Source organism: Homo sapiens, chromosome 1 (genome assembly GCF_000001405.40).
Source record: "Homo sapiens chromosome 1, GRCh38.p14 Primary Assembly".
In the NCBI taxonomy this organism is placed as follows: Eukaryota; Metazoa; Chordata; class Mammalia; order Primates; family Hominidae; genus Homo; species Homo sapiens.
The window spans coordinates 94,746,586-94,771,783 of record NC_000001.11 but is presented as its reverse complement, the minus strand read 5'-3'; the positions used below and the strand labels follow the sequence as shown (position 1 = coordinate 94,771,783).

Below are 25,198 nucleotides of genomic sequence, written 5' to 3'. Positions count from 1 at the left end.
TAAAGGGAACAGGAGAACACTTGTTTATTTCTGTCTTCTTCTGGTCCCACTTTTACATCCCATCCCCATGGGAGGGTAAAAAAAGAAGAGGAGGCCCATCCACCTCCACTTCTCCTCTTGATGTTTGCACCAGTGGCCATAGAGATGGGGACAGACCGGACTCTGGTGCCATGGACTGGCACATGGTCTCAAGTTTCTGGCCCTGGGGTTGGAATACAGTTCCACTTGCTCTGTAGGAGATCAGAGGGATGCTATTTACAAACATTGAGTTATGTGAACTCATTTCAGTGGATTTGGGAAAATTACTCTCCATGGGAATAAAAGTTATCAAGAAAGAATTTTTAAATACTCTATATATTTGCAGGTCGAATTTATTATTTCCTAATACAACTAATATAATTATCCTCTCCCATGTTCTTCAACAGATGTATTCCAGAAACATTTTGTCTGAATCTTTAAAAGACTGCTTTGCTTTTTCTGATATCAGGTCAATAGAGAAATGTGCCACCCTGCTAGTAAAAGCCAGTTTTTGAGCAATATCTGCATAACTGTTAAATGTGTTATTATTATTATTATTTTTTGTCTAACTTTCATCCTGCACTCTTCAGCAGAACTAAAGATACTCCCTGTTCCAAGGAAGCTCATAATCTAATAATGCCATTGGAAAGTCACTTGTTATTAGTGTAGGCCTTTTGCAAATACCCTCCAAAAAAAGCTTAATGTGAGTTTTAATCCAGATAAATAAACCTATTAAGAAGGAAAAGGAGAAGGAATAAGTCTCATGAAGATTTACTACTCTTGGAGTTTGTTTTCTTCGCTGTAAGGAAGAGTTGTTCCCCATTGCTTCAATCACAAAAAACCATTAAACATAGACCAAGAAGGGGGAAAAAAACCTTACAAGATCACTTTATAAGGGACAATAAGTACTTGAAAATTAGAAAACATCCCTTTAAATTTGGGAAGTCTTTAAGTGCTCTGGGTGAATACATGAGTGGTAGTAAAGAGTGAAGTGTGCAAACTCCAATCTACAGTCAATTTGGCAGCAGAATTCTCAGTGTGCTACGGAAGTAAGCAAATGTTAGAGAGGTAAACAGATTCCAGATTAACTTACCTGGAAGAGTCTCCAAGAGCAGCTGGGAAGCAGAAGAATGCAGCTCCTTTCTTGCCATCTGGTTTGACTGGAAATCCACTGGTCTGGTGGTTCCATTGGCATGGGGGCATTACCCTCCTCCCCTTCTCCCCAAACCCTTCAAAATTTCCAAGGAAGCCTGTCAAGCTCAGTTAAGACTCAATGTGTCCCCAGGGTCCTTTTTTGCCACATGGAAGAAGAGAGAATGTGTCTTATCTTGATGATTTTCTTCTAATCAATTTGAGTGTCAACAGCTAAATTTGAAAAATAGAATGCAAAGTGAAGACTAGATTTATCATTGTTAAGCTAGGAAACCAAGAGTCTGCATTTCTGTATTCTAGGGTGAAAATGGAAATTCACCTGTGGAACTCACTGGCCATTGTGGAAGAAACAGTAAGATGACCCTCCCTTCATTATGCTGGCCAATATGGTATCAGATCACTTTGTGTTTCCACTTCAGAACTTTGTGGGTGACTTTTGTTCACTGTTGTATCCCCAGCACCTAGAGCAGTGGCTCATGAAAAATAGAGTTTCAATAAGTATTTGTGGGAATGAATGAACGTTTGATCAAAAGAGGTAATTCTCTCATGCTGCCAAGATGAATGTGGGGGCTTGGAAATGTGTTCCTAGAATCCTGCATTGGAGATTGAAACTCAATTGGAGCTTTCCTATGGAAGCAATGTTACATAAAGTGATTGGGAGTTATTGAAATAGTGCTCTTGGCACCATGATAGCTGTAGGCACTTGTGGCTTGGCATGATGACTTTGTTATAGTCTATGTCACTGTTTCCATGGGAAAATACATTCTGGGTCCCAGGACTTGGCTTATAAGTGACTTTGGAAATACAAACCAGTCTTAGTTGAGACCTGCCCGAAACTTTGGTTTGACTGTGGCTGTCTTGGAATGTGTCCAAAATAAGGCATTGCTAGGAAACCTGAGTGGCCTTTCTTCTTGTGGCTGGTTCCTACCAGGAAGGGTGGTGTCATGTCAGGAATGTAGACTTGAAGTTTGTAGACCATACCATGCTAGCTATGACCCTTCCTTAAGTGGCCTAAAAAGACTAGAGGATTTTTAATGGACTGGGGAAAGGTCCTTCCAGGTATGTTAATATCCCAAACAATTTAGCTACATAGAATGTGGCCCAGAAACATCACAGTGGGTCACCAGCAACCATGACATTCAGTGAGGTTCAGAGACAATCAGGGTATTATCCTAGAAGATCATAATGTTGGGTATAATATTTGTGGCATAATTGTTGTTTAATCAGCTCTGGGATATGGCTGGGCTATCTTACAGAACAAACAGCCTCATGCACGCTGATGCACATTTGAAGGAATATCCTTCATGTAGACTCATTCAGACATCCCAACCTGCTTTTCTGCAGATTGGGGGTTGGTGTGAGGAGCCAGTAGTCTCAGACAGCACTAGTATTGAGGCCATGGATGTCCAGGGAGAAGCCTGGCACCTTATTCTTTGGCATGAAGACCGTGGGGCCTCAAGGGAAGGTGGAAAGTCTAAGGCTCTCTGGTCATAAGATAGGGTCACCTGGTGATGGAAGGGCTGCAACTGGCCCTGAGAGGGTTCCTGACTGACCACACAGATGTACTTGCTGGGACATGAAGAGATGTCTCTGCCATGAGGCTGGTGGGTCTTGGCAGGGGACAGGGGCAGAGTTGGAAACAGAAATCTAACACAAAGGTGAGAGAGTGATTTTAAGTTGTTGGAGGAGTTATGAGATTCTAGCCAGGGTGTAGGGAATGAGGTAGGGGTGAAGGACAGCACTGACCTCTTGAATAAGGGCAGTATCAGTAGATACTGTGTCACTGTGTCCCCTTCAGGGGCCCCTCTGGCAGTGAACGAGGCTAATACAGTGTGTTTCTGCTCAGGCTTGTTAATGCCTTTCATTGCTTTCTCTCTGTCCACACAGGAGGCTGCTTGTGTTAGCCTCATTTTCGGTAGACTCTACTCAACTGTGGCAATGATGGGCACCTGTAGTACCAAGCTCATATCTCACTAGATTTGCTGCAAAGAAGACCAAGCAAAGTTCCAAGGCTGATGCTTTGCAGCCCAGAATGGATCATGACTATTACCTTGATTGGCCAGGCCTAGGACGGGGGTAACCACTCTCAAGCCCTTGGACTGAGACTGGGGGAAAAGTGGTTCCCCAGGAAAAACTGAGTTCCTATTATCTAAAGAAGACATGAATATTCAGCAGAAAAACATCACATTTCCACACTTTTAAACTCTGAAATATGTGGCTAGGTATAAGTCAAAGCCAGAAATTAAATGAGGGAACAGTTCTCTGAGGCCTTCACGCAGCTGTTAATGTTCCTAGAAAGTGAAGGGGTTTTCCCTGATCTATTCTATAACGTATCTTAAGTAGAGTACTTTCAAGTTCTTGTCCTGGAAAATCACCACATGATTAACAAACCCATAGACTGGAAAATTGGGGAAGGGCAGGCAGAAGACTACAAGAGAACTCTTGTACCCTTTCAACAAATAGGCAGCATCACTTAGCACAAAGGAGGAAATGAAGCAATAATTGAAACCATGAAGTGGGTATCTTTGTATGCGTGCATGTTGTGAAAAAACGTGCATCATCCACATTAACACATAGCCAGATGAAAACCCAAGTCATCTCCTTTACTGTAATATTATTAGAAAACAGTGATACTTATTATTTCTTCATCACTTTCTAAGTTACGGGTTAATCTAATCTTGCAATGAGATTCTTCTGCATCAGGTAAAGTTACTCTTATTCTTCAATGATACCTCTTCAAAGAGTCTTTCCAGATTCATGTAGGGAGGGATCTTTTTTTCTCCTTCTTGGTAGCTGCTCACTGCTTTTTGTGCATGCCAGTATGATAGCACTTGTCGTGTGGCACTGTGATTTTTTATTTGTTCAAAAGGCTCTATCAGGCAAGAGCTATGGGCTTTGAGGTGCATCACTTGACTTCCCTGAAACACAAACTGGTAGAATAACAGTTCATCCCTCTTAGGGGTATTGCAAGAATTAAATTAAATGAGCTGTTGCATGAAAAGCACTTAGCATAATACCTGGCTTATAGTGGGAGCCCAGTAAATATTGGCAGTTAGCATTTTAGTGTTTATTCTCATTAAAATAATAATGATTATAATAATTATCATTGCTATGTCCTCTACTAGGTGGAGAAGTGCTTGAGGGCAGGGACTGTTCTGAGATCATAGTAGGTACTCTGTGGAAAAAAAGGAGGGAGGAGGGAAATAAAAAATGGAAACAACAAAGAGGGCAGCAATACCAGGTTTGCCCAGAAGTGACAACTCTAGGTAGCCAGAAATAGCCTCTCCAGCTAGAAGGGATCTCATGACCTTTTGTTTTATAGAAAAGGAAATGTAGGGGCCAAGAAAGGTTAAGGAGCATGTTTAGGATCACAGTGTTGGCAGCAGTGGCCTGGAATCCAGGCTCTCTCCTGGGGTTAACCTTCATAGCCCCTGCTTTATTGGCATCTCCACCTTCCTTAGTAAATGCCCATGTATCCATATGGCTTGATAAACCTTGGCTGATGTCTGCCACTGAGAGAATAGGGCATTTCCTATCTATCCCCAGATGGAGACTGAGGAGAACATGGATATTTGATGGGAATGTAATGTATTCGTTATCTTTTCAGTGTCTTTCTTGTAAAACCCAAAAGGCAGCCATTAAAAAATAATATGATCCTGGTCTTAATCCAGCAGGCTCCAAGCAGCCTCAGCCATTATGAGAGTTACTGACTCTAATTGCAAATTATGAGGCAGTTAAAGAAATATAGCATATGTCCTTCTTTAATATAGGTTTGAACCTTCTTTAATATAGGATTGAACTGAACTGTCTACAAGGATTACTGTCTTCCTTGGGAAATAGGCAAGCACTGAGCTGACACAGGAGCCAAAACAAGGTCTCTGGAACGTATACTGGCAGGAATATCAGAAAGGAAACCCATTCCTGTGTTTGAGTGGATGGGACTCCTCAGAAGTGAGAGAAAATTAATACTGAGATTGACAGAGTGCTTGAAAGGGGAGGTGAGAATGAACTAAATGTAAGAAAGCCAGGTTGGGTATAAAACTGTCTGTAACTGAATATACTTCATCACAAGCATCATGATCTCATGTGTGTATTATGGGTTACATTATACCTTAGGTACAGTCATTTGCCCAAATTGGGAATTTGCACCCTAGGGTGGAGAGCCAGCATTCGAATTAGGAAAACTGTACTCCAGAAGCAGCTACTACAAGAGCTCCCATGACCTTTATCTATGATCAATGGTAGAGGCTCTGCTAACTGGCATACTTAATGTTAGAAATAGGTTTCCGTTGATGAAATCCGTGGCTTCTTAGCATAGTGGATGCTCCAAACAGAAATTCATTCGTGAACTTACTAGTGGTAAAGATAAGTGAATTGTCTCAAGTATTTTAGAGTAGCTTCCTGCTTTTGATTAAAAAGAGTATAAACATCTAGCCAGTCCTGTAGCTCTTAGTGATGCAATCCTGGATCAAGATTTGGATTCAGAAGTTACTAGTTTCTTGATGTCAACTATGCAGATTAATTGAATTCTGTATCCAAAATATTGTTGTATTTACCTGAAAAGATGATGTGCTATCAGGAGCTAAAGAAGCCATGCTTTAACTATGAAGGGATAAACCCAAGGACAATATGCAAAGTATGTTATTTATCCAATGCTCTCTGACAAATTACTCCAAAATGTAGTGGCTTAAAACAACAATAATAATAATCTCCCATGATTTCTGTGAGTCAGGAATTTGAGAGCAGTTCTGGCTTGGAGATTTCTCATGAAGTTACAATCACATGTTGGCTGGAGCTGTAACTATCTGAAGGCTTGACTGGGGCTGAAGGACTCACTTCCAAGATAGCTAACTCCATGGCAGACAAGCTGATGCTCCCCGTTGGAGGGAGGCCTTAGCTTTTCTCTATGTTGGCTTCTCCATGTGTCCTGGATTTCCTCACAACATGGTGGTTGAGTTCCAGAGGCAAGCATCTGAAAACAGAGAGCCAGGTGGAAGCTGTATCCTTTCTGTGATCTACCCTCAAGAGTCACATAGCATCACTTCTGCCCCACTCCATTGACTGGGACAGTCACAATCCCCTGCCTAGATTTGAGAAGAGAGAACACAGACCCTTCCCTTAATGGGAGGAGTGTCAGTTGCCAGTCACATTGTGTGAAAATTATGTGCGATGAGATAAATATGTAGGTGTGGCATTTTTTGAGAAATACAACATGCTACAATAAGTAAGGATGGCAATGAGAAAAGGTAAGAAAACAAAAACAAAAAACCCACCTAGGGCCTTGATACCATCACTGGGCTACTGAAGTAATCAACCATGAAAACACCTACCTCAGAATATCTTGTTTTGTAAGATAGTACTTTATCTTCATTATTTTATTTGGGTATTCTATTATTATAGCTGAAAATATTTTAATGGATATTACTTGGTAGAAAAGCTAGAGCAAAAGACCTGGATTCAAATTCTCCCATGGCTCCCTAGATGATATTACTTCAACTAAAGTATTTATTCCCATTCATGTATTCAACAAATGTTTATAAATGAACTTCAATGTGCCAACAAGGTACTGTTTAAGACAGTAAGAATGCAACAGTGAGTAAAACCGGCAGAGATCCCTGTCCTCATGTAGCTAACAATTGACTATGTGTTCTGTGGGACTGTCTGTGTGTGAGGGAGGTGGTGGTATGGAGTGGCAAGAAATAAACCAGGTAAATAATTAAGATGATGTTGAGTGGTGAGGAGTGCTATGGAGGAAGATAAAGCAGGACAGGGTGACAGTGTGACTAGGGAGGTCCTCATGCACAAGGTGACATTTGAGTAAGGACTTGAAGGAGACCCAGTGTGTATTAGGAACACTTCTAGTGGGACCTAAGGGAGTCAGTGAGGGGAAGGATAGTAGGAAGTGAGGACAGACGTTTTAGGAGATGGGAGCAAATTGTATAGTGAAATGGGAAGCTGTTGAGCTTTTGATTAGAGGGTTATGTAATCTGACTTACTTTTTTTTCTTTTTTTAAATTATACTTTAAGTTCTAGGGTACATGTACACAATGCGCAGGCTTGTTACATAGGTATACATGTGCCATGTTGGTTTGCTGCACCCATTAACTCGTCATTTACATTAGGTATTTCTCCTAATGCTATCCCTCCCCCTACTCCCCACCCCATGACAGGCCCCTGTGTGTGATGTTCCCCACCCTGTGTCCAAGTGTTCTCATTGTTCAATTCCCACCTATGAGTGAGAACACACGGTGTTTGGTTTTCTGTCCTTGTGATAGTTTGCTCAGAATGATGGTTTCCACCTTCATCCATGTCCCTGCAAAGGACATGAACTCATCCTTTTTTATGGCTGCATAGTATTCCATGGTGTATATATGCCACATTTTCTTAACCCAGTCCATCATTGATGGACATTTGGGTTGGTTCCAAAGTTTTTGCTATTGTGAATACTGCCACAATAAACATACGTGTGCATGTGTCTTTAGAGTAGCATGATTTATAATCCTTTGGGTATATACCCAGTAATGAGATCGCTGTGTCAAATGGTATTTCTAGTTCTAGATCCTTGAGGAATCGCCACACTGTCTTCCACAATGGTTGAACTAGTTTACACTCCCACCAACAGTGTAAAAGCATTCCAATTTCTCCACATCTTCTCTAGCATCTGTTGTTTCCTGACTTTTTAATGACCGCCATTCTAACTGGTGTGAAATGGTATCTCATTGTGGTTTTGATTTGCATTTCTCTGATGAGCATTTCTTCATGTGTCTGTTGGCTGCATATACATGTCTTCTTTTGAGAAGTGTCTGTTCATATCCTTTGCCCAATTTTGATGGGGTTGGTTTTTTCTTGTAAATTTATTTAAGTTCTTTGTAGATTCTGGATATTAGCCCTTTATCAGATGGATAGATTGCAAAAATTTTCTCCCATTCTATAGGTTGCCTATTTACTCTGACGGTAGTTTCTTTTGCTGTGCAGAAGCTCTTTAGTTTGATTAGATCCCATTTGTCAATTTTGGCTTTTGTTGCCATTGCTTTTGGTGTTTTAGTCATGAAGTCCTTGTTCATGCCTATGTCCTGAATGGTATTGCTTAGGTTTTCTTCTAGGGTTTTTATGGTTTTAGTCTAACATTTAAGTCTTTAATCCATCTTGAATTAATTTTTGTATAAGATGTAAGGAAGGGATCCAGTTTCAGCTCTCTACATATGGCTAGTCAGTTTTCCCAGCATTTATTAAACAGAGAATCCTTTCCCCATTTCTTGTTTTTGTCAGGTTTGTCAAAGATCAGATGGTTGTAAATGTGTGGTGTTATTTCTAAGGCCTCTGTTCTGTTCCATTGGTCTATATCTTTCTTTTGGTGACAGTACCATCCTGTTTTGGTTACTGTAGACTTGTGGTATAGTTTGAAGTCAGGTAGCGTGATGTCTCCAGCTTTGTTCTTTTTGCTTAGGATTGTCTTGACAATGTGGGCTCTTTTTTGGTTCCATATGAACTTTAAAGTAGTTTTTTCCAATTCTGTGAAGAAAGTCATTGGTAGCTTGATGGGGATGGCATTGAATCTATAAATTACCTTGGGCAGTATGGCCATTTTCACGATATTGATTCTTCCTATCCATGAGTATGGAATGTTCTTCCATTTGTTTGTGTCCTCTTTTATTTTGTTGAGCAGTGGTTTGTAGTTCTCCTTTAAGAGGTCCTTCACATCCATTGTAAGTTGGATTCCTAGGTATTTTATTCTCTTTGTAGCAATTGTGAATGGGAGTTCACTCATGATTTGGCTCTCTGTTCGTCTGTTATTGGTGTATAGGAGTGCTTGTGATTTTTGCATGTTGATTTTGTATCCTGAGATTTTGCTGAAGTTGCTTATCAGCTTAAGGAGATATACAGATGAGATGATAGGGTTTTCTAAATATACAATCATGTTATCTGCAAACAGGGACAATTTGACTTCCTCTTTTCCTAATTGAATACCCTTTATTTCTTTCTCCTTCCTGATTGCCCTGGTCAGAACTTCCAACACTATGTTGAATAGGAGTGGTGAGAGAGGGCATCCCTGTCTTGTGCCAGTTTTCAAAGGGAATGCTTCCAGTTTTTGCCCATTCTTTATGATATTGGCTGTGGGTTTGTCATAAATAGCTCTTATTATTTTGAGATACGTTCCATCAATACCTAGTTTATTCAGAGTTTTTAGCATGAGGTGCTGTTGAATTTTGTCAAAGGCCTTTTCTGCATCTATTGAGATTATCATGTGGTTTTTCTTGTTGGTTCTGTTTATGTGATGGATTACCTTTATTTGCGTATGTTGAACCAGCCTTGCAACCCAGGGATGAAGCCGACTTGATCGTGGTGGATAAGATTTTTGATGTGCTGCTGGATTTGGTTTGCCAGTATTTTATTGAGGATTTTCACATTGATGTTCATCAGGGGTATTGGTCTAAAATTCTCTTTTTTTGTTGTGTCTCTGCCAGGCTTTGGTGTCAGGATGGTACTGGCCTCAAGAAATGAGTTAGGGAGGATTCCCTCTTTTTCTGTTGATTGGAATAGTTTCAAAAGGAATGGTACCATCTCCTCTTTGTACCTCTGGTAGAATTTGGCTATGAATCCATCTGTTCCTGGACTTTTTTTGATTCGTACGCTATTAATTATTGCCTCAATTTCAGAGCCTGTTTTTGGTTTATTCAAGGATTCAACTTCCTCCTGATTTAATCTTGGGAGGGTGTATGTGTCCAGGAATTTATCCATTTCTTTAGATTTTTTAGTTTATTTGCATAGAGGTGTTTATAGTATTCTCTGATGGCAGTTTGTATTTCTGTGGGATCGTTGGTGATATCACCTTTATCATTTTTTATTGTGTCTATTTGATTCTTCTCTCTTTTCTTATTAGTCTTGCTAGCAGTCTATCAATTTTGTTGATCTTTTCAAAAAATCAGCTCCTGGATTCATTGATTTTTTGAAGCTTTTTTTTGTGTCTCTATCTCCTTCAATTCTGCTCTGATCTTAGTTATTTCTTGCCTTCTGCTAGCTTTTGAATGTGTTTGCTCTTGCTTCTCTAGTTCTTTTAATTGTGATGTTAGGGTGTCAATTTTATATCTTTCCTGCTTTCTCTTGTGGGCATTCAGTGCTATAAATTTCCCTCTACACCCTGCTTTAAATGTGTCCCAGAGATTCTGGTATATTGTGTCTTTGTTCTCATTGGTTTCACAGAACATCTTTATTTCTGCCTTCATTTTGTTATTTACCCAATAGTCATTCAGGAACAGGTTGTTCAGTTTCCATGTAGTTGTGCGGTTTTGAGTGAGTTTCTTAATTCTTAGTTCTAATTTGATTGCATTGTGGTTTGAGAGACAGTTTGTTGTGATTTCTATTCTTTTACATTTGCTGAAGAGTGCTTTACTTCCAACTATGTGGTCAGTTTTGGAATAAGTGTGATGTGGTGCTGAGAAGAATGTATACTTTGTTGACTTGGGGTGAAGAGTTCTGTAGATGTCTATTAGGTCTGCTTGGTGCAGAGCTGAGTTCAAGTCTTGGATATCCTTGTTAACCTTCTGTCTTGTTGATCTGTATAATATTGACAGTGGGCTGTTAAAGTCTCCCATTATTATTGTGTGGGAGTCTAAGTCTCTTTGTAGGTCTCTAAGGACTTGCTTTATGAATCTGTGTGCTCCTGTATTGGATGCATATATATTTAGGATAGCTAGCTCTTCTTGTTGAATTGATCCCTTTCCCATTATGTAATGGCCTTCCTTGTCTCTTTTGATCTTTGTTGGTTTAAAGTCTGTTTTAACAGAGACTAGGATTGCAACCCCTGCCTTTTTTTGTTTTCCATTTGCTTGGTAGATCTTCCTCCATCCCTTTATTTTGAGCCTATGTGTGTCTCTGCACGTGAGATGGGTTTCCTGAATACAGCACACTGATGGGTCTTGACTTGACTCTTTATCCAATTTGCCAGTCTGTGTCTTTTAATTGGAGCATTTAGCCCATTTACATTTAAAGTTAATATTGTTATGTGTGAATTTGATGCTATCATTATGATGTTAGCTGGTTATTTTGCCCATTAGTTGATGCAGTTTCTTCCTAGCATCAATGGTCTTTACAATTTGGCATGTTTTTGCAGTGGCTGGTACCAGTTGTTCCTTTCCATGTTTAGTGCTTCCTTCAGGAGCTCTTGTAAGGCAGGCCTGATGGTGACAAAATCTCTCAGTGTTTGCTTGTCTGTAAAGGATTTTATTTCTCCTTCACTTATGAAGATTAGTTTGGCTGGATATGAAATTCTGGGTTGAAAATTCTTTTCTTTAAAAATGTTGAATATTGGCCCCCACTCTCTTCTGGCTTGTAGAGTTTCTGCCGAGAAATCCGCTGTTAGTCTGATGGGCTTCTCTTTGTGGGTAACCCGACCTTTCTCTCTGGCTGCCCTTAACATTTTTTCCTTCATTTCAACCTTGGTGAATCTGACAATTATGTGTCTTGGGGTTGCTCTTCTTGAGTATCTTTGTGGTGTTCTCTGTATTTCCTGAATTTGAATATTGGCCTGCCTTGCTAGGTTGGAGAAGTTCTCCTGGATAATATCCTGAAGAGTGTTTTCTAACTTAGTTCCATTCTCCCTGTCACTTTCAGATACACCAATCAAACGTAGAGTTGGTCTTTTCACATAGTCCCATATTTCTTGGAGGCTTTGTTTGTTTCTTTTCACCCTTTTTTCTCTAATCTTGTCTTCTCTCTCTATTTCATTAATTTGATCTTCAATCACTGATATCCTTTCTTCCACTTAAACAAATTGGCTACTGAAGCTTGTGTATGCTTACCAAAACAAAATTAATACATCTGTCATTACCTATGCTGTACATTGAATCCACAGAACTTACCTGTTCTCTTATAACTGAAAATGTGTGCTCTTTGACCAATGTCTTCTCATTTGCCCTGCTCCTTGTCCCCCACCCCTGGCAATTACCATTTTGTTCTCTGTTGCTATGAATTAGGCTTTTTTTTTTTTGGAGACACTTTTAAGCAGCAAAATCACCAAGAAAAAGCACAGAAATATGAAAAAGCTTGCACTAAATAGACTGTGAAAAGGATCCCAGTTTACAGTATGACAGCTGAAACAAGAAGGCAGAGAATTTTCTTGTTTAAGATCAACTAGGAAGGAGTGTGATGGGTAACTGAAATTTTTTGCTGCTTGGTGTGTGTTTGCTAATGACCTTGAAAGGACCACAAGTATAGATTTTGGGATTGCAAATACATTTTAGAGAGTAGGAAAGTTTGCAATATGTAAACAATATGTGAATGAGTCTCTACTGTATCTAATTTGCTTTAAACTGAATGCAAAGGGCCAAAGAACAAGGCTTTTAGAGATTTTTCTCTGTATGTCCATGTGCAAGAGGCCATCAATTCTATATATTTTAACTTTATTTTTATTTTATTTTATTTTTTTGAGACAGAATCTCGCTGTGTAGCCTAGGCAGGAGTGCAGTGGCATGATCTTGACTCACTGCAACCTCTGCCTCCTGGGTTCAAGTGATCCTCGTGCCTCAGCCTCCTGAGTAGCTGGGACTACTGGTGTGCATGCCTGGCTAAATTTTGTATTTTTAGTAGAGATGGGGTTTTGCCGTGTTGCCCAGGCTGGTCTTAAACTCCTGAGCTCAAGTGATCTGCCAGCTCCAACCTCCCAAAGTGCTGGGATTACAGGCGTGAGCCACTCCATGCAGCTGGGTATATTTTAACTTTAAAGATGTCATCAATGCTTTGGAGCTAAATCCTTTACACAAGTGAACTCTGAAGTTGTGATTGGTTTTGATCTTATTAGTTTGACATGAGATTTTATTACTTTGAAAACAGCTTAATATTTCTGAGGCTATCCTCTTTGGTCTGCATCTTCTTTTTATATTCTTATAAATTAGATTCTGTGAGCAGGTTTTTCTCTTTTGTTTTGTGTATGGAGATTGAGACAAAGTAGCACTGAGATGCCTGTGCAAGGTGACCACTTCTCTCCACGGAGATGCTGTGAACTTCCTTTGAAAGAAAACAGACTAGGTTCGGTTTTGGTTTTGAAGGAGGAAAATATCTTGACCTTGTGGTTTTAAAAATCAATTTCCTAAATAGTTAAATTTAAGGAAAAAATTTTAAAAATAAAATAAAATGAACAGAAATGTGAGCCCCAGGGTCCTTTAAAAATGCCTTTATAATTTTCCATGGAACATATTTTTGTTGTTGTTTATTACTCCTCTTTTCAGGCACCCTCATACTATTTGGTCTGTAGTTTCTAAAGGAGTCGTTTAGTTCATTGAAGAGTAACCCAGCTGCCCCCTCAAACGCCATTGCCCTTCTTGGAACTGCGGAATCCCTCTGGGGGAGGCTTGTGAGATGCGTAGGCTCAAGGAACCCTCCAGGGAATGGCTCCGTCCAGCCTGTTGGACGTTGCTAAGCGAGTCCAAGATAAACAGAGAGCCACTGGGAGACAGAGCAGGGCCAATCTTACCATTAGGCTGATCAGCTTTCCTCTGCCTGTTGTCCTTCCCTAAACCGTTGAGTCTTCCTGCCAAGACAATGTCCCAGCTTGTGCAGATGCAAACAAGGCAGAAAGCCTTGTTTGTTTTGTCTGGAAGTTAACCTTGAACTCTCAAAGGAGCACTTAATGTCATATGGAAGCAACACTCTCCAAAGACAGCAGCCCCACTTTTCTGGGGACCAGACTGCCATTAACCTCAGCCTCCCCAACCACAGATGATTTCAGAAAAGGTCTTTGAGGAAAAGACTGGTGACAAAGCCCGGTTACTTTTCTCAGGCCAGCAGACCCAGGCAAATTAAAGAGGGAGTCTCTGGGGCTTATGGACACTGCTTGGGATACTAGTTTTGAAGGAGCACTAAAACCACACTGGAATAAACTGGAAACGCAGTGTCAGTTAACTCAGGTTTCTGCCTAGAGCTGTTCCTGTGCAAGTAAGCAGTTCCTTTAAGTTCCTGGTGTCAGGGTTCTCATGGAAGCATTCCTATTTGTGACATTTCCAAACAAATAATGGGGCACAACTGCAGGCAGAGCCTCAGCCCCGAGACCTGCATCCACACCGGAGACTAGAGTCACATTGTGGTTTGCTGACAGGTGACACCAAATAATGCATGGTGCCATGCTGCTTCTTGGGAAGGAGGGGTTTCCTTTCCCTTTCGTTATCTAAATAATTAGCTCTTTAACATGCCTTAATATACATAGAATGGTTTAGAAAATTGCCCATAATAAGTGTATACAACTATTCTCTCATTTTGAATATAAAGAAAAAGCATGATTTTTACTCATAGAAGTTTCTCACTCCCACTAGTATTGAACAAATATGCTTTAAAGAAGAGCTGCATTATTATTATTATTATTATTATTATTTTTTTTTTTTTTTTTTTTTTTGAGACAGAGTCTCGCTCTGTCGCCCAGGCTGGAGTGCAGTGGCATGATCTCGGCTCACTGCAAGCTCCACCTCCCGGGTTCACGCCATTCTCCTGCCTCAGCCTCCTGAGTAGCTGGGACTACAGGCGCCTGCCACCGTACCTGGCTAATTTTTTTGTATTTTTAGTAGAGACAGGGTTTCACTGTGTTAGCCAGGATGGTCTCGATCTCCTGACCTTGTGATCCGCCCGTCTTGGCCTCCCAAAGTGCTGGGATTACAGGTGTGAACCACCGTGCCCGGCCAAAGAGCTGCATTATTAATTGTCTTAGGGAGCCCCTGTGTCTCTTTTTGACCTTGCAGAGAGAGACCTGGACTTAACCAGTTTGACTTGCTTGGGAAAGGGCCTCCTTCCCCATCCTCAACGGATAGGGATGGACCATTGGAGAGGAGCACAGGGCCTATAAAAGCCAAGGGTTCTAGCGGAGTGCTTTCCAGCTTTCAAGCGAGGATGATCAACTCTCAGCTTTTCCTGGTGTTTCATGGTGCTAAAGCCTGCAAAGTCCTGGGACCAGCTGGTCATTGTACCTCAGGCTCATTGTACCTAGGGAGGCAGCAGAGTGGAGGGCTTACCTGTGTGGGCTTGGGGGCCCAACGGCCTCGGTTAGGGCCTGTCTCCATTATTTAATTTGCAACCTTGGGCAAGTAACTTAACCTCACTGCTTTTTGGTTTTCTCATCTGGAAACTGATGGGAAAAATAACACCTACCTTTTAGGGATATTGCGAAGCAAAAATGAAACAATATATGCAGAGTAACTCTTAGTGTGCTGGGTACATAGAAAGTGCTCATAAATGTTGGCTATTATTATTGTGGTAATTTTTATTTGAGGGCACAATGATTTTTACCTCTCCAGTAGTAGGATGGGCAATCCTGTGCGAAAGACAGCAATTAATATATCTGATGTCAGCCTGGATCTATCAAGAAGAGGTCTTAAGGAGGTGGGGAATTGTGGGATTGTATTCCTTTTGGAATATGTTTTATCAAAATAGATTTTACTTTTAAAAATTTGAGTGTCTGTAGGGGCAGGTCTTGATGATCTGGAAAGTCTAGGCGGACAGAATTCTTGGAAAAGGGAGGCAAAGCTCTGTATGCATGCTTAGGGATCTGCAGGCTTTGCAAGTGCCCTTGCTGGGGGACCAGACACCGGAGGAGCCTGTGGTTTATCAGTCCCTCCTGGAGGCCCAGTATCAGGCTGCGGGCAGTCGGTTGGTGTGTGCTGTAGAAAATCTCCCCAGCTCCAGCACTGGATCTCCAGGCACATGTGTTTTAGATCAGTGGTAATGGAGTGTGCTTTTGAAGTTCGGATTTCCTGTTATTTGGCCTGCAAAATTTTGCTGAGTCATTTGACCTCATGGATCTTCTGAAATAGTAGTCACATGACCAGAGTAAACCGTGTAGACCCACAGCTTGCCTGCAGATACGTATGTTTTTTCAAACTTGATTCAACCAGTATTCACAGATCACACACTGCCTGCCATACATTACATTAGGGACCTGGAGCTTACTGGGCGGTATAGGGCCCAGCTTTGTCCACAGAGAGCTTGCTTTCTAGTGAAGAGGACAGGCCCATATCTAAGGACTGCATGTCTGACCTTAAAAATTTTGGTTAACTCTTTTTTTTTTTTTTTTTTTTTTTGAGACAGAGTATCACTCTGTCACCCAGGCTGGAGTGCAATGGCGCGATCTCGGCTCACTGCAACCTCCACCTCCCAGGTACAAGTGATTCTCCTGCTTCAGCCTCCTGAGTAGCTGGGATTACAGGTGCATGCTACCACGCCTGGCTAATTTTTGTGTTTTTAGTAGAGACAGGGTTTCACCATGTTGGTCAGGCTGGTCTCAAACTCCTGACCTTGTGATCCACCTGCCTCAGACTTCCAAAGTGCTGGGATTACAGGCATGAGCCACCACGCCCAGCCAAAATTCCAATTAACTCTTAAAAGAAGTATACACTGTGTGACCAAGGAAGCACAGAGTGATTCATTCTGAGAGGGGAGAATCACAAAGCAAGGAACATAGAGCCACGCTTTGGAAGAGAAGTAGAATAATGAAAGTCAGCAGAGGGCAAATGGAAACAGAGCACCGTGTGCAGATTCACTGTGTCTTGTCTGTCAATCAGCATGCTTGATTGGACCATAGGAAGCACAAAGGTAGTGTAGTGGGAGATTAATTGGACCAGCTGATGCAGAATGTGGGGTGAATGCAAGACTACAGAGCTGAGACTTTATTTTATATGCAAGAGGGAAGGGTTTTGAGCAAGGGAATGTTATAATCATGACTAGGCATTAGAAAAACGCATTGGTGAAGGAGGGCATCTTTGTCAGCAGTTCTATGTGGGATGCAGGAAGACAGGAGAGAGCAGAGGTGTTAGTTATAAAACACAGGCAAGAGTTCATGAGCGCTTGAACTTTGGAAGTGACAGAGAGAACGGAGGGGAGGGCAGAGAAGTGACTAAAGACATTTGGGAGGAGGAAAGAGAAGGTTTATCAACATCCTGTTTTAATGTGGAAATCAAGCAGGATGCAAGCAGCAGGGAATGGAAGAGCAAACTGGATTCCAGTCTGGGTCATGCCAAAAAGACGATGAAGGGTGAAGGCCAAGAATGGGGTTATTTAGCCTAGGAAACAAAGGGTTAAACAGCACCTTAATGATAGCTTGTATGTATGTGAGAGACCAATAACAACTGTTTTCTGATTTTCTCTAGATTTCTGATTTTTTCTGATTTTAACTGGAGTTAAGGTCTGTAGAATTTAGATAAAATATAAGAAAACAATTCCAAATGGGGAAATTTTGAGACATTTTATCTTCAGGATGGGTTTCGTTTCTAAGTGTAAATATTTGCCTCAATGTCTCAAGATAGGAAGAGATGCCTCCTTTCCTCCCTCTTACTGGAAATCCAGCTCAGCTCATCCTCCGTCAGTGGTTTCCACTCTGACAAGAAAAGACAGCATTGCTGTTACTTTAAGGAAAAACAGAAGCAGTTGATGTGGATTTGCCATTGGAAATGGCTGTACTAAATTCACAAAGGAATTCTGAATAATTAAAATAAGCATAAATATAAAATAAGAATACTGAAAATAGTAGGTATAAGTTGGTTTGTGGTCGTGTAAGTATTAAAATTAAATCTCTTCAGGTGGCTTATAACAGAATGCCACTTCAAAAGAGCTTTGGCAGAAAAGAAAGGATGTTTGGAAGGGATTAGGGGAATCTCAGGCCACCCAAGGCAGAGGGTGACTGAGGTGTGTCCGGAGTCCTGAGAGTGTTGTTTGTTTCCTGCTCTGCTTCTCCCTGAGTTGGCTGCCTTCTCTCCCTGCATGCTGACCTTCACCAGGTCAGCCACCCGACAGTGCCTGAATGGCCTGTGTGCAGGGCAAGGGGCCAAGAGACAGCCAGATCATGGCTCTACCCCAATTCCAAATTCTGGGGAAGAGACTCTGGCCCAGCTCAGAGAACAAGATCTTATAGCTCAAGCATAGGTGCTGAAAGGAGCATGCTGCTGTGGACAGAGCAGGCAGTTCTCAGAGGAGGGTATTATGGGCTGGGCAGCCACTTCATAAAGGCACTTACTGCAAGCTCTTAAAAAACTGACAGACTTTGTCCACAAAGAGCTTGCTTTCTAGTGACTAGGACAGGCCCATATTTAAGGACTACATGTCTGACCTTAAAAAATTCAATTAACTCTTAAAAGAAATGTACACTATGCGACCAAGGAAGCACGGAGTGATTCATTCTGAGAGGGGAGAATCACAAAGGAAGGAACATAGAGCCAGGCTTTGGAAGAGAAGTAGAATAATGAAACAGAGGGCAAATGGAAACAGAGCACCGTGTGCAGGTTCACTGTGTCCTGTCTGTCAATCAGCATGTTTGATTGGACCAAAGCTCTCATCTGTTCTAAGTATACGGCAGAATATTTGAAATGTAGAGCATAAAGAACTTCTAGCACAAAATAATTTAGAAAAGTCACCATCCTGGCTGGGTGCTGTGGCTCACTCATGTAATCTCAGCAGTGTGGGAGGCTAAGGCGGGTGGATCACAAGGTCAGGAGATCGAGACTATCCTGGCTAACACCGTGAAACCCCGTCTGTATTAAAAATACAAAAAATTAGCCGAGCATGGTAACGTGTGCCTGTAGTCCCAGCTACTTGGAGGCTGAGGCAGGAGAGTTGCTTGAACCCAGGAGGCGGAGGTTGCAGTGAGCTGAGGTCGTGCCACTGCACTCCAGCCTGGGCGACAGAGCAAGACTCATACTGCCCAAGGTAATTTATAGATTCAATGCCATCCCCATCAAGCTACCAATGACTTTCTTCACAGAATTGCAAAAAACTACTTTAAAGTTCATATGGAACCAAAAAAGAGCCCGCATTGCCAAGTCAATCCTAAGCCAAAAGAACAAAGCTGGAGGCATCACGCTACCTGACTTCAAATTATACTACAAGGCTACAGTCACCAAAACAGCATGGTACTGGTACCAAAACAGAGATATAGACCAATGGAACAGAAGAGAGCCCTCAGAAATAATGCCGCATATCTACAACCATCTGATCTTTGACAAACCTGACAAAAACAAGAAATGGGGAAATGATTCCCTATTTAATAAATGGTGCTGGGAAAACTGGCTAGCCATATGTAGAGAACTGAAACTGGATCCCTTCCTTACATCTTATACAAAAATTAATTCAAGATGGATTAAAGACTTAAATGTTAGACTAAAACCATAAAAACCCTAGAAGAAAACCTAGGCTATACCATTCAGGACATAGGCATGGGCAAGGACTTCACATCTAAAACACAAAAAGCAATGGCAACAAAAGCCAAAATTGACAAATGGGATCTAATGAAACTAAAGAGCTTCTGCACAGCAAAAGAAACTACCATCAGAGTGAACAGGCAACCTTCAGAATGGGAGAAAATTTTTGCAATCTACTCATCTGACAAAGGGCTAATATCCAGAATCTACAATGAACTCAAACAAATTTACAAGAAAAAAACAAACAACCCCATCAAAAAGTGGGCAAAGGATATGAACAGACACTCCTCAACAGAAGACATTTATGCAGCCAAAAGACACATGAAAAAATGCTCATCATCACTGGTCATCAGAGAAATGCAAATCAAAACCACAATGAGATACCATCTCATACCAGTTAGAATGGCGGTCATTAAAAAGTCAGGAAACAACAGGTGCTGGCGAGGATGTAGAGAAATAGGAACACTTTTACACCGTTGGTGGGACTGTAAACTAGTTCAACCATTGTGGAAGACAGTGTGGCGATTCCTCAAGGATCTAGAACTAGAAATACCATTTGACCCCAGCCATCCCATTACTGGGTATATACCCAGAGAATTTTAAATCATGCTGCCGTAAAGACACATGCACATGTATGTTTATTGCGGCACTATTCTCAATAGCAAAGACTTGGAACCAACCCAAATGTCAATCAATGATAGACTGGATTAAGAAAATGTGGCACATATACACCATGGAATATTATGCAGCCATAAAAAAGGATGAGTTCATGTCCTCTGTAGAGACATGGATTAAGCTGGAAACCATCATTCTGAGCAAACTATCGCGAGGACAGAAAACCAAATACTGCATGTTCTCACTCATAGATGGGAATTGAACAATGAGAACACTTGGACAGAGGGCGGGGAACATCACACATGGGAGCCTGTCATGGGGTGGGGAGAGGGGGGAAGGATAGCATTAGGAGATATACCTAATGTAAATGACGAGTTAATGGGTGCAGCAAACCAACATGGCACATGTATACCTATGTAACAAACCTGCACGTTGTGCACATGTGCCCTAGAACTTAAAAGTATAATAATAAAAAAAAAGAAAATGAATGTGAACTTATTCTTTGAGGAGAGCCATGCCCTAAAAGATGAAAAGCAGCTATTCATCACAATGCAAGACTTCAGAAAATAGTTAATGATCATGAAAGTTGGCCTGTTCTTATGGACTACGTGTGTGCAATTGCCCACAATCTACCCTTGTAATATATTTTTAATATGCTGAATTTTCTTTTTAGTTTTTTAGTTTTTTTCTTACTTTTCCCCCACTATTTTAAAGTATCAGCATTATTTTTTACAATTTGCTATGCTAAGTATTTCTCTTTGCATCATTTCTAATACTAGAGGTATAAACCATGTAAAGACTTTTGGAGAGTTTTGATTTGTTTTATGCATTTTTTTTGCAAATTTGACTTCCCAAAAGTGCATTATCACAACACTGATTGTGTGTAACCATTGTGCTTGTATGTAAAAACACCAAAGCTTTCTCAATAAGTGAAGATATTTCCTCTTCATACAACTGCATTTGTGAAAGGTAAAATTTTTTGAGATCTAGGCTCTTTGCACGACTGCATATGCAGTGGTGACCCATTGCAGTTTTTGATTCATCTTATCAAACGACATAGGTCATCTGTCACAGTATTTCAGATAACTGAAATTATAAACATGGGTGCACACAATTACCAACCATAGTGATCTACATTTATACATTTTGCTTTTGACCTATTTCTTTGTGAATACAGTTCATCTGCTTATAACTGTTATATCTGTGCAACTGTTGTTAGTATATCTAGTGTTTATGCTTGAAAAACATATAGTTATTATTGCCTATTTCATTTTGTAAAGTGGCCTATGAAGTGTTCTGGTATATTTCTCAAACAAAGACCCTTTTAAAACATAAATATTATTAAAGAATTTTTAAAAATTATTTTTTCCAGAATTACATTTTCAGGATTTTGATTTTTTGGCATTTCAGCATTTGGAATTATGCTCCTGATTTATGCTCCTGAATTATGCTCCTGAATCATGCTCCTGATTTCAGGTGATCTGCTCACCTGGGCCTCCCAAAGTGCTGGGATTACAGGTGTGAGCCACCATGCCCGGGCCTTCTTTTCTTTTCCTTTCCTTCCTTCTTTCTTTCTTTTTTTTTTCTTTTCCTTTCCTTCCTTCTTTCTTTCTTTTTTTCTTTCTTTTCTTTTCCTTTCCTTCTTTCTTTCTTTTCCTTTCTTTCTTTCTCTTTCTTTCTTTCTTCCTTCCTTCCTTCCTTTCTCTTTCTTTCTTTCTCTTTCTTTCTTTCTTTCTTTCTTTCTTTCTTTCTTTCTTTCTTTCTTTCTTTCTTTCTTTTTCTTTTTCTTTTCTTTTCCTTTCCTTCCCTTCCCTTCCTTCTTTCTTTCTTTCTTTTCTTTTTTTTTTTTGAGACAGGGTCTCACTGTGCTACCCAGGCTGAAGTGCAGTGGCATGATCATAGCTCACTGCAGTCTTGAACTCCTGGGCCCTCCTGCTTCACCTCTCAAGTAGCTGGGACTATAGGTGCATGCCACTGTACCTGACTAATTTTGTTTGTTTTTTTGTTTGTTTTGCAGTTTTTATAGAGAGAGGGTCTTGCTATGTTGATCAGGCTAGGCTCAAACTCCTGGCCTTAAGTTATCCTGCCTCCTCAGCCTCCCGAAGTGCTGGGGTTATAGGCATGAGCCATCATGCCTGACTGTTCTTTTCTAATATGAGCATTTAGTGCTATAAATTTACCTCTATGTACTGCTTGGTCTGCATCCCACAAATTTGGATATGTTGTATTTTCATTTTTATGTATTCTAAAATATACTGTATTTTCCCTTGAGATTTCTTTTTTGACCTAGAGATTATAAGTGTGAAATTTAGTTTCCAAATATTTGCAGTTTTTTCCAGATATATTTCTGTTACTGATTTCTATTTTAATTCCATTTTTGGTCAGAGAATATACTTTGTATGACCCAAATCCTTTTAAATGTATTCAGACTTGCTTAATAGCCCAGAATATGGTCTGTCTTTGAAAATGTTCTATATGCACTTGAAAAGAATTTGTATTATGTTGACCTTTTTGTTTGTTTGTTTTTTGGTGGAATGTTCTCTGAATGTCAATTAGATCAAGTTGGTTGATAGTGTTATTCGAGTTGTTATTTGTACTGATTTTCTTTCTGTGTCTATTAACTACTGAGAGGGAAGTGTTAAAATATTTTATTATAATCATGTATCTGTTAATTTATCCTTGCAATTTTTCCATATTTTGTTTCATGTATTTTGAAGGTTAGTTGTTACAAATATAAGCATTTATGATTCCTATCCTATGTCCTCTTGATAATTTAGCACCTTTATTTTTACTAAATGGGAAACAGCTTTATCCCTGGCTAAATACTTTTTGCTCTGAAATCTGCTTTTTCTGATATTAATATAGCCACTACAGCTTTCTTAAGATTACCGTTTATATCCTTTTGCTTTTCACTTATTTGTATCTTTTTACTTAAAGTGGGTTTCTTATTGGTAGTATTTATTTGGGTCTTGCTTTTCGCTTATTTTTAATCAAATCTGGACATCTCTTTCTTTTAATTGGGATGTTTAGACCATTTACATTTGATATGATTATTGAGATGCTTCAGTTTAAATATAGCATCTTGGTATTTGTTTTCTATGTCTCATCTGTTTTTTGTTCTATTTTTCTTCTTTTTCTACCTTCTTTTGGACTAATTCAGTATTTTTAAAAAGTATTCTATTTATCTCCTCTACTATTTATACTATAAAATGTAAAATAAGGACTAAAGTAACACAATAAAGAATTATGGATAATATTTATGGATAATAATATTTATTATCCATAATTCTTTACTGTGTCACTTTAGTTCTTATTTTACAGTTTATAGTATGTACATTCTTAATTATTAATTTTTACTATTATCTACAAATAAAACCCAGGGTTTATGATTAATGGCCAAAAATACAGTAGGTTAATTTAAGGGAAACGGTGGAAATATTTATTTTTGAAAAATAAGTTTGGGAATAGTCAAAACACTCCAAGAATTATTCAAAGTTAAGAGAAGGAAAGGAATGTGTGTGTGCATATATGCATGTTTATGTTTGTAAGAAGTAAAGTTTGGATAATCTGACTTCTCTACTTTTACAAAACAACAACAAAGCCTTTCCCTCTGCCATTCATTCACTCATTCATTCAATAAATATTTGTGGGTACCTAGTATAGACCAAGTGTGGAACATTTTTACTATTCAATGTCTGCCCTGCACTGTATAACTTTGGAAGTTATACAATAAGTCAGAATAACTTTCTGGTGAAACTTCCTGGAGGAATTTACAATATGATAAAGGAAATAGTATATCTCTTCAAGTAGAGACCCATTGCAAAAGCACAGCACAAAATTTGGTACTTACCCTAGGTGGCGTGCACTGGGTTAAGGGAGGAGTGGTTAGAATGACTTTGTTGAGTGTTGAATGCCCTTTAAAATCACATTTGACTTTTGTAAATCCAAATTCTCTTTCTTGATGAGATAAATGGCAAAGCCTTAGGCTTGTTCATAAATTCATTTTTTGGAAATATTTATCTAGTTTTTCTAGTGTCAATCATGGGGCAGCTGCTGAAGATTCAGAGGTAAACAAAGCAGACCTCTTCCTGTGACATGCAGTTCAAAATGCCCCTGTCACCTATGCTTGGAGATGTAGGGTGACTAGAATGATGTGCCTTCTGGCAGACCCAGGTGTTCAGACCAACTCCTGCCACTTGGGATGGGCAGAAATGTCTTCTGTGTGAGTGCAGAGAACCATCCCCCACCAGGCAGTTGAAGTAATGGAGGGATTTAGTAACTCCTACCCCTCCAGCCAGAACTATCCAAAGACAAAACTGACTTTCTTGAAGGATAAAAGTTTCTGTCATGGGGGCTATTCAAGTACTGGCTTAATGACCACTTGGTAAGAATGTTGCTGAGGGAATTCAGACATCAACTGATGGGAGTGAGACTGGACAACCTTACAGCTGGAAGGCATGTGATTTAATGAACTCCATGATGCCCAATCCCCAGGGCTCTGGCATTTCCTGTCTGTAGCTGTAAGGCCAGCTGGGCTCGCCTCACCATCTGCGGCCAACCCATCATCCAGAGTCACATTAGAGGACTGGGTGGCCCGATGTCTACCCAGACAGGCAGTCAACATACCCTGGGGCTTACTGTAGAATCTTGAGCCCTTGAGATAAACCTGCCGCCCTGCCCCACATGTGCTGGACAGCATTCCTCCTCCTCAAACCCTAACCCCAGCGGGCTGCTTCTTTCCGTGACCCTGGGGTCACTGTGGCTTAAGTCTTGCAAGGCTGGAACCAGACAGCAGGGCAGGCTGTTTCATAAGTGTTCCTTGGTCTGTCCAAGTTTGTACTTCCTTTAAAAGATCTTTCAGTTGTTATTTTTTGTTTTCCCCCTTCTTTTCATTAACTTGAAAACAGCAAATCATATTTTGCCAAGGGAGAAAAACCCTCCCTCACCCAAGAGATTCCTTCTTAATTCAGCCCTTAGTAAACATTGTTTCTGATTGGATTTCTAGCCCGGCCTGGCACTGGTTCTACCAATGAGATCACTAACAGAATTTGAGAAAAACATTTGGGACCTGTGGCCTTGATTTGAAAAATCACCCTGTCTCTGTTCTGTTGTATTGCAGATGAGGAGACAAGAGATGCTTACGGTGTGTGTGTACAGAAGGGCACACCTATTGTTTACAGGTGTTGAAATAGAATGTCAACTGTCATGACAAGGAGGGCCTTAACCAGCAGGCCACTGCATCACCA

General features: G+C 40.3%; 1 long non-coding RNA gene across 7 annotated transcripts in view, besides 1 other annotated feature; it reads left to right on the top strand.

The window, feature by feature from the left end:
* Nucleotides 1-25,198, top strand: part of SLC44A3-AS1 (SLC44A3 antisense RNA 1) — a 203,881-nt gene that overhangs the window by 48,449 nt on the left and 130,234 nt on the right. For 2 of the 7 annotated variants that reach the window (NR_160783.1, NR_160782.1), the window contains exon 2: nucleotides 1,471-1,559. The exons of 4 other annotated variants lie outside the window; for them this stretch is intronic. This is a non-coding gene — a long non-coding RNA (SLC44A3 antisense RNA 1). The remainder of the gene's footprint in view (nucleotides 1-1,470; nucleotides 1,560-25,198) is intronic. One more of the 7 variants, NR_160779.1, reaches the window with a different exon arrangement.
* Nucleotides 13,497-13,791: an enhancer, noted in NCBI's record as "tiled region #2553; K562 Activating non-DNase unmatched - State 24:Quies". NCBI's record gives its function as "activates a minimal TATA promoter and a strong SV40 promoter by Sharpr-MPRA in K562 cells {active_cell/tissue: K562}" and the evidence as "EXISTENCE:reporter gene assay evidence [ECO:0000049][PMID:27701403]".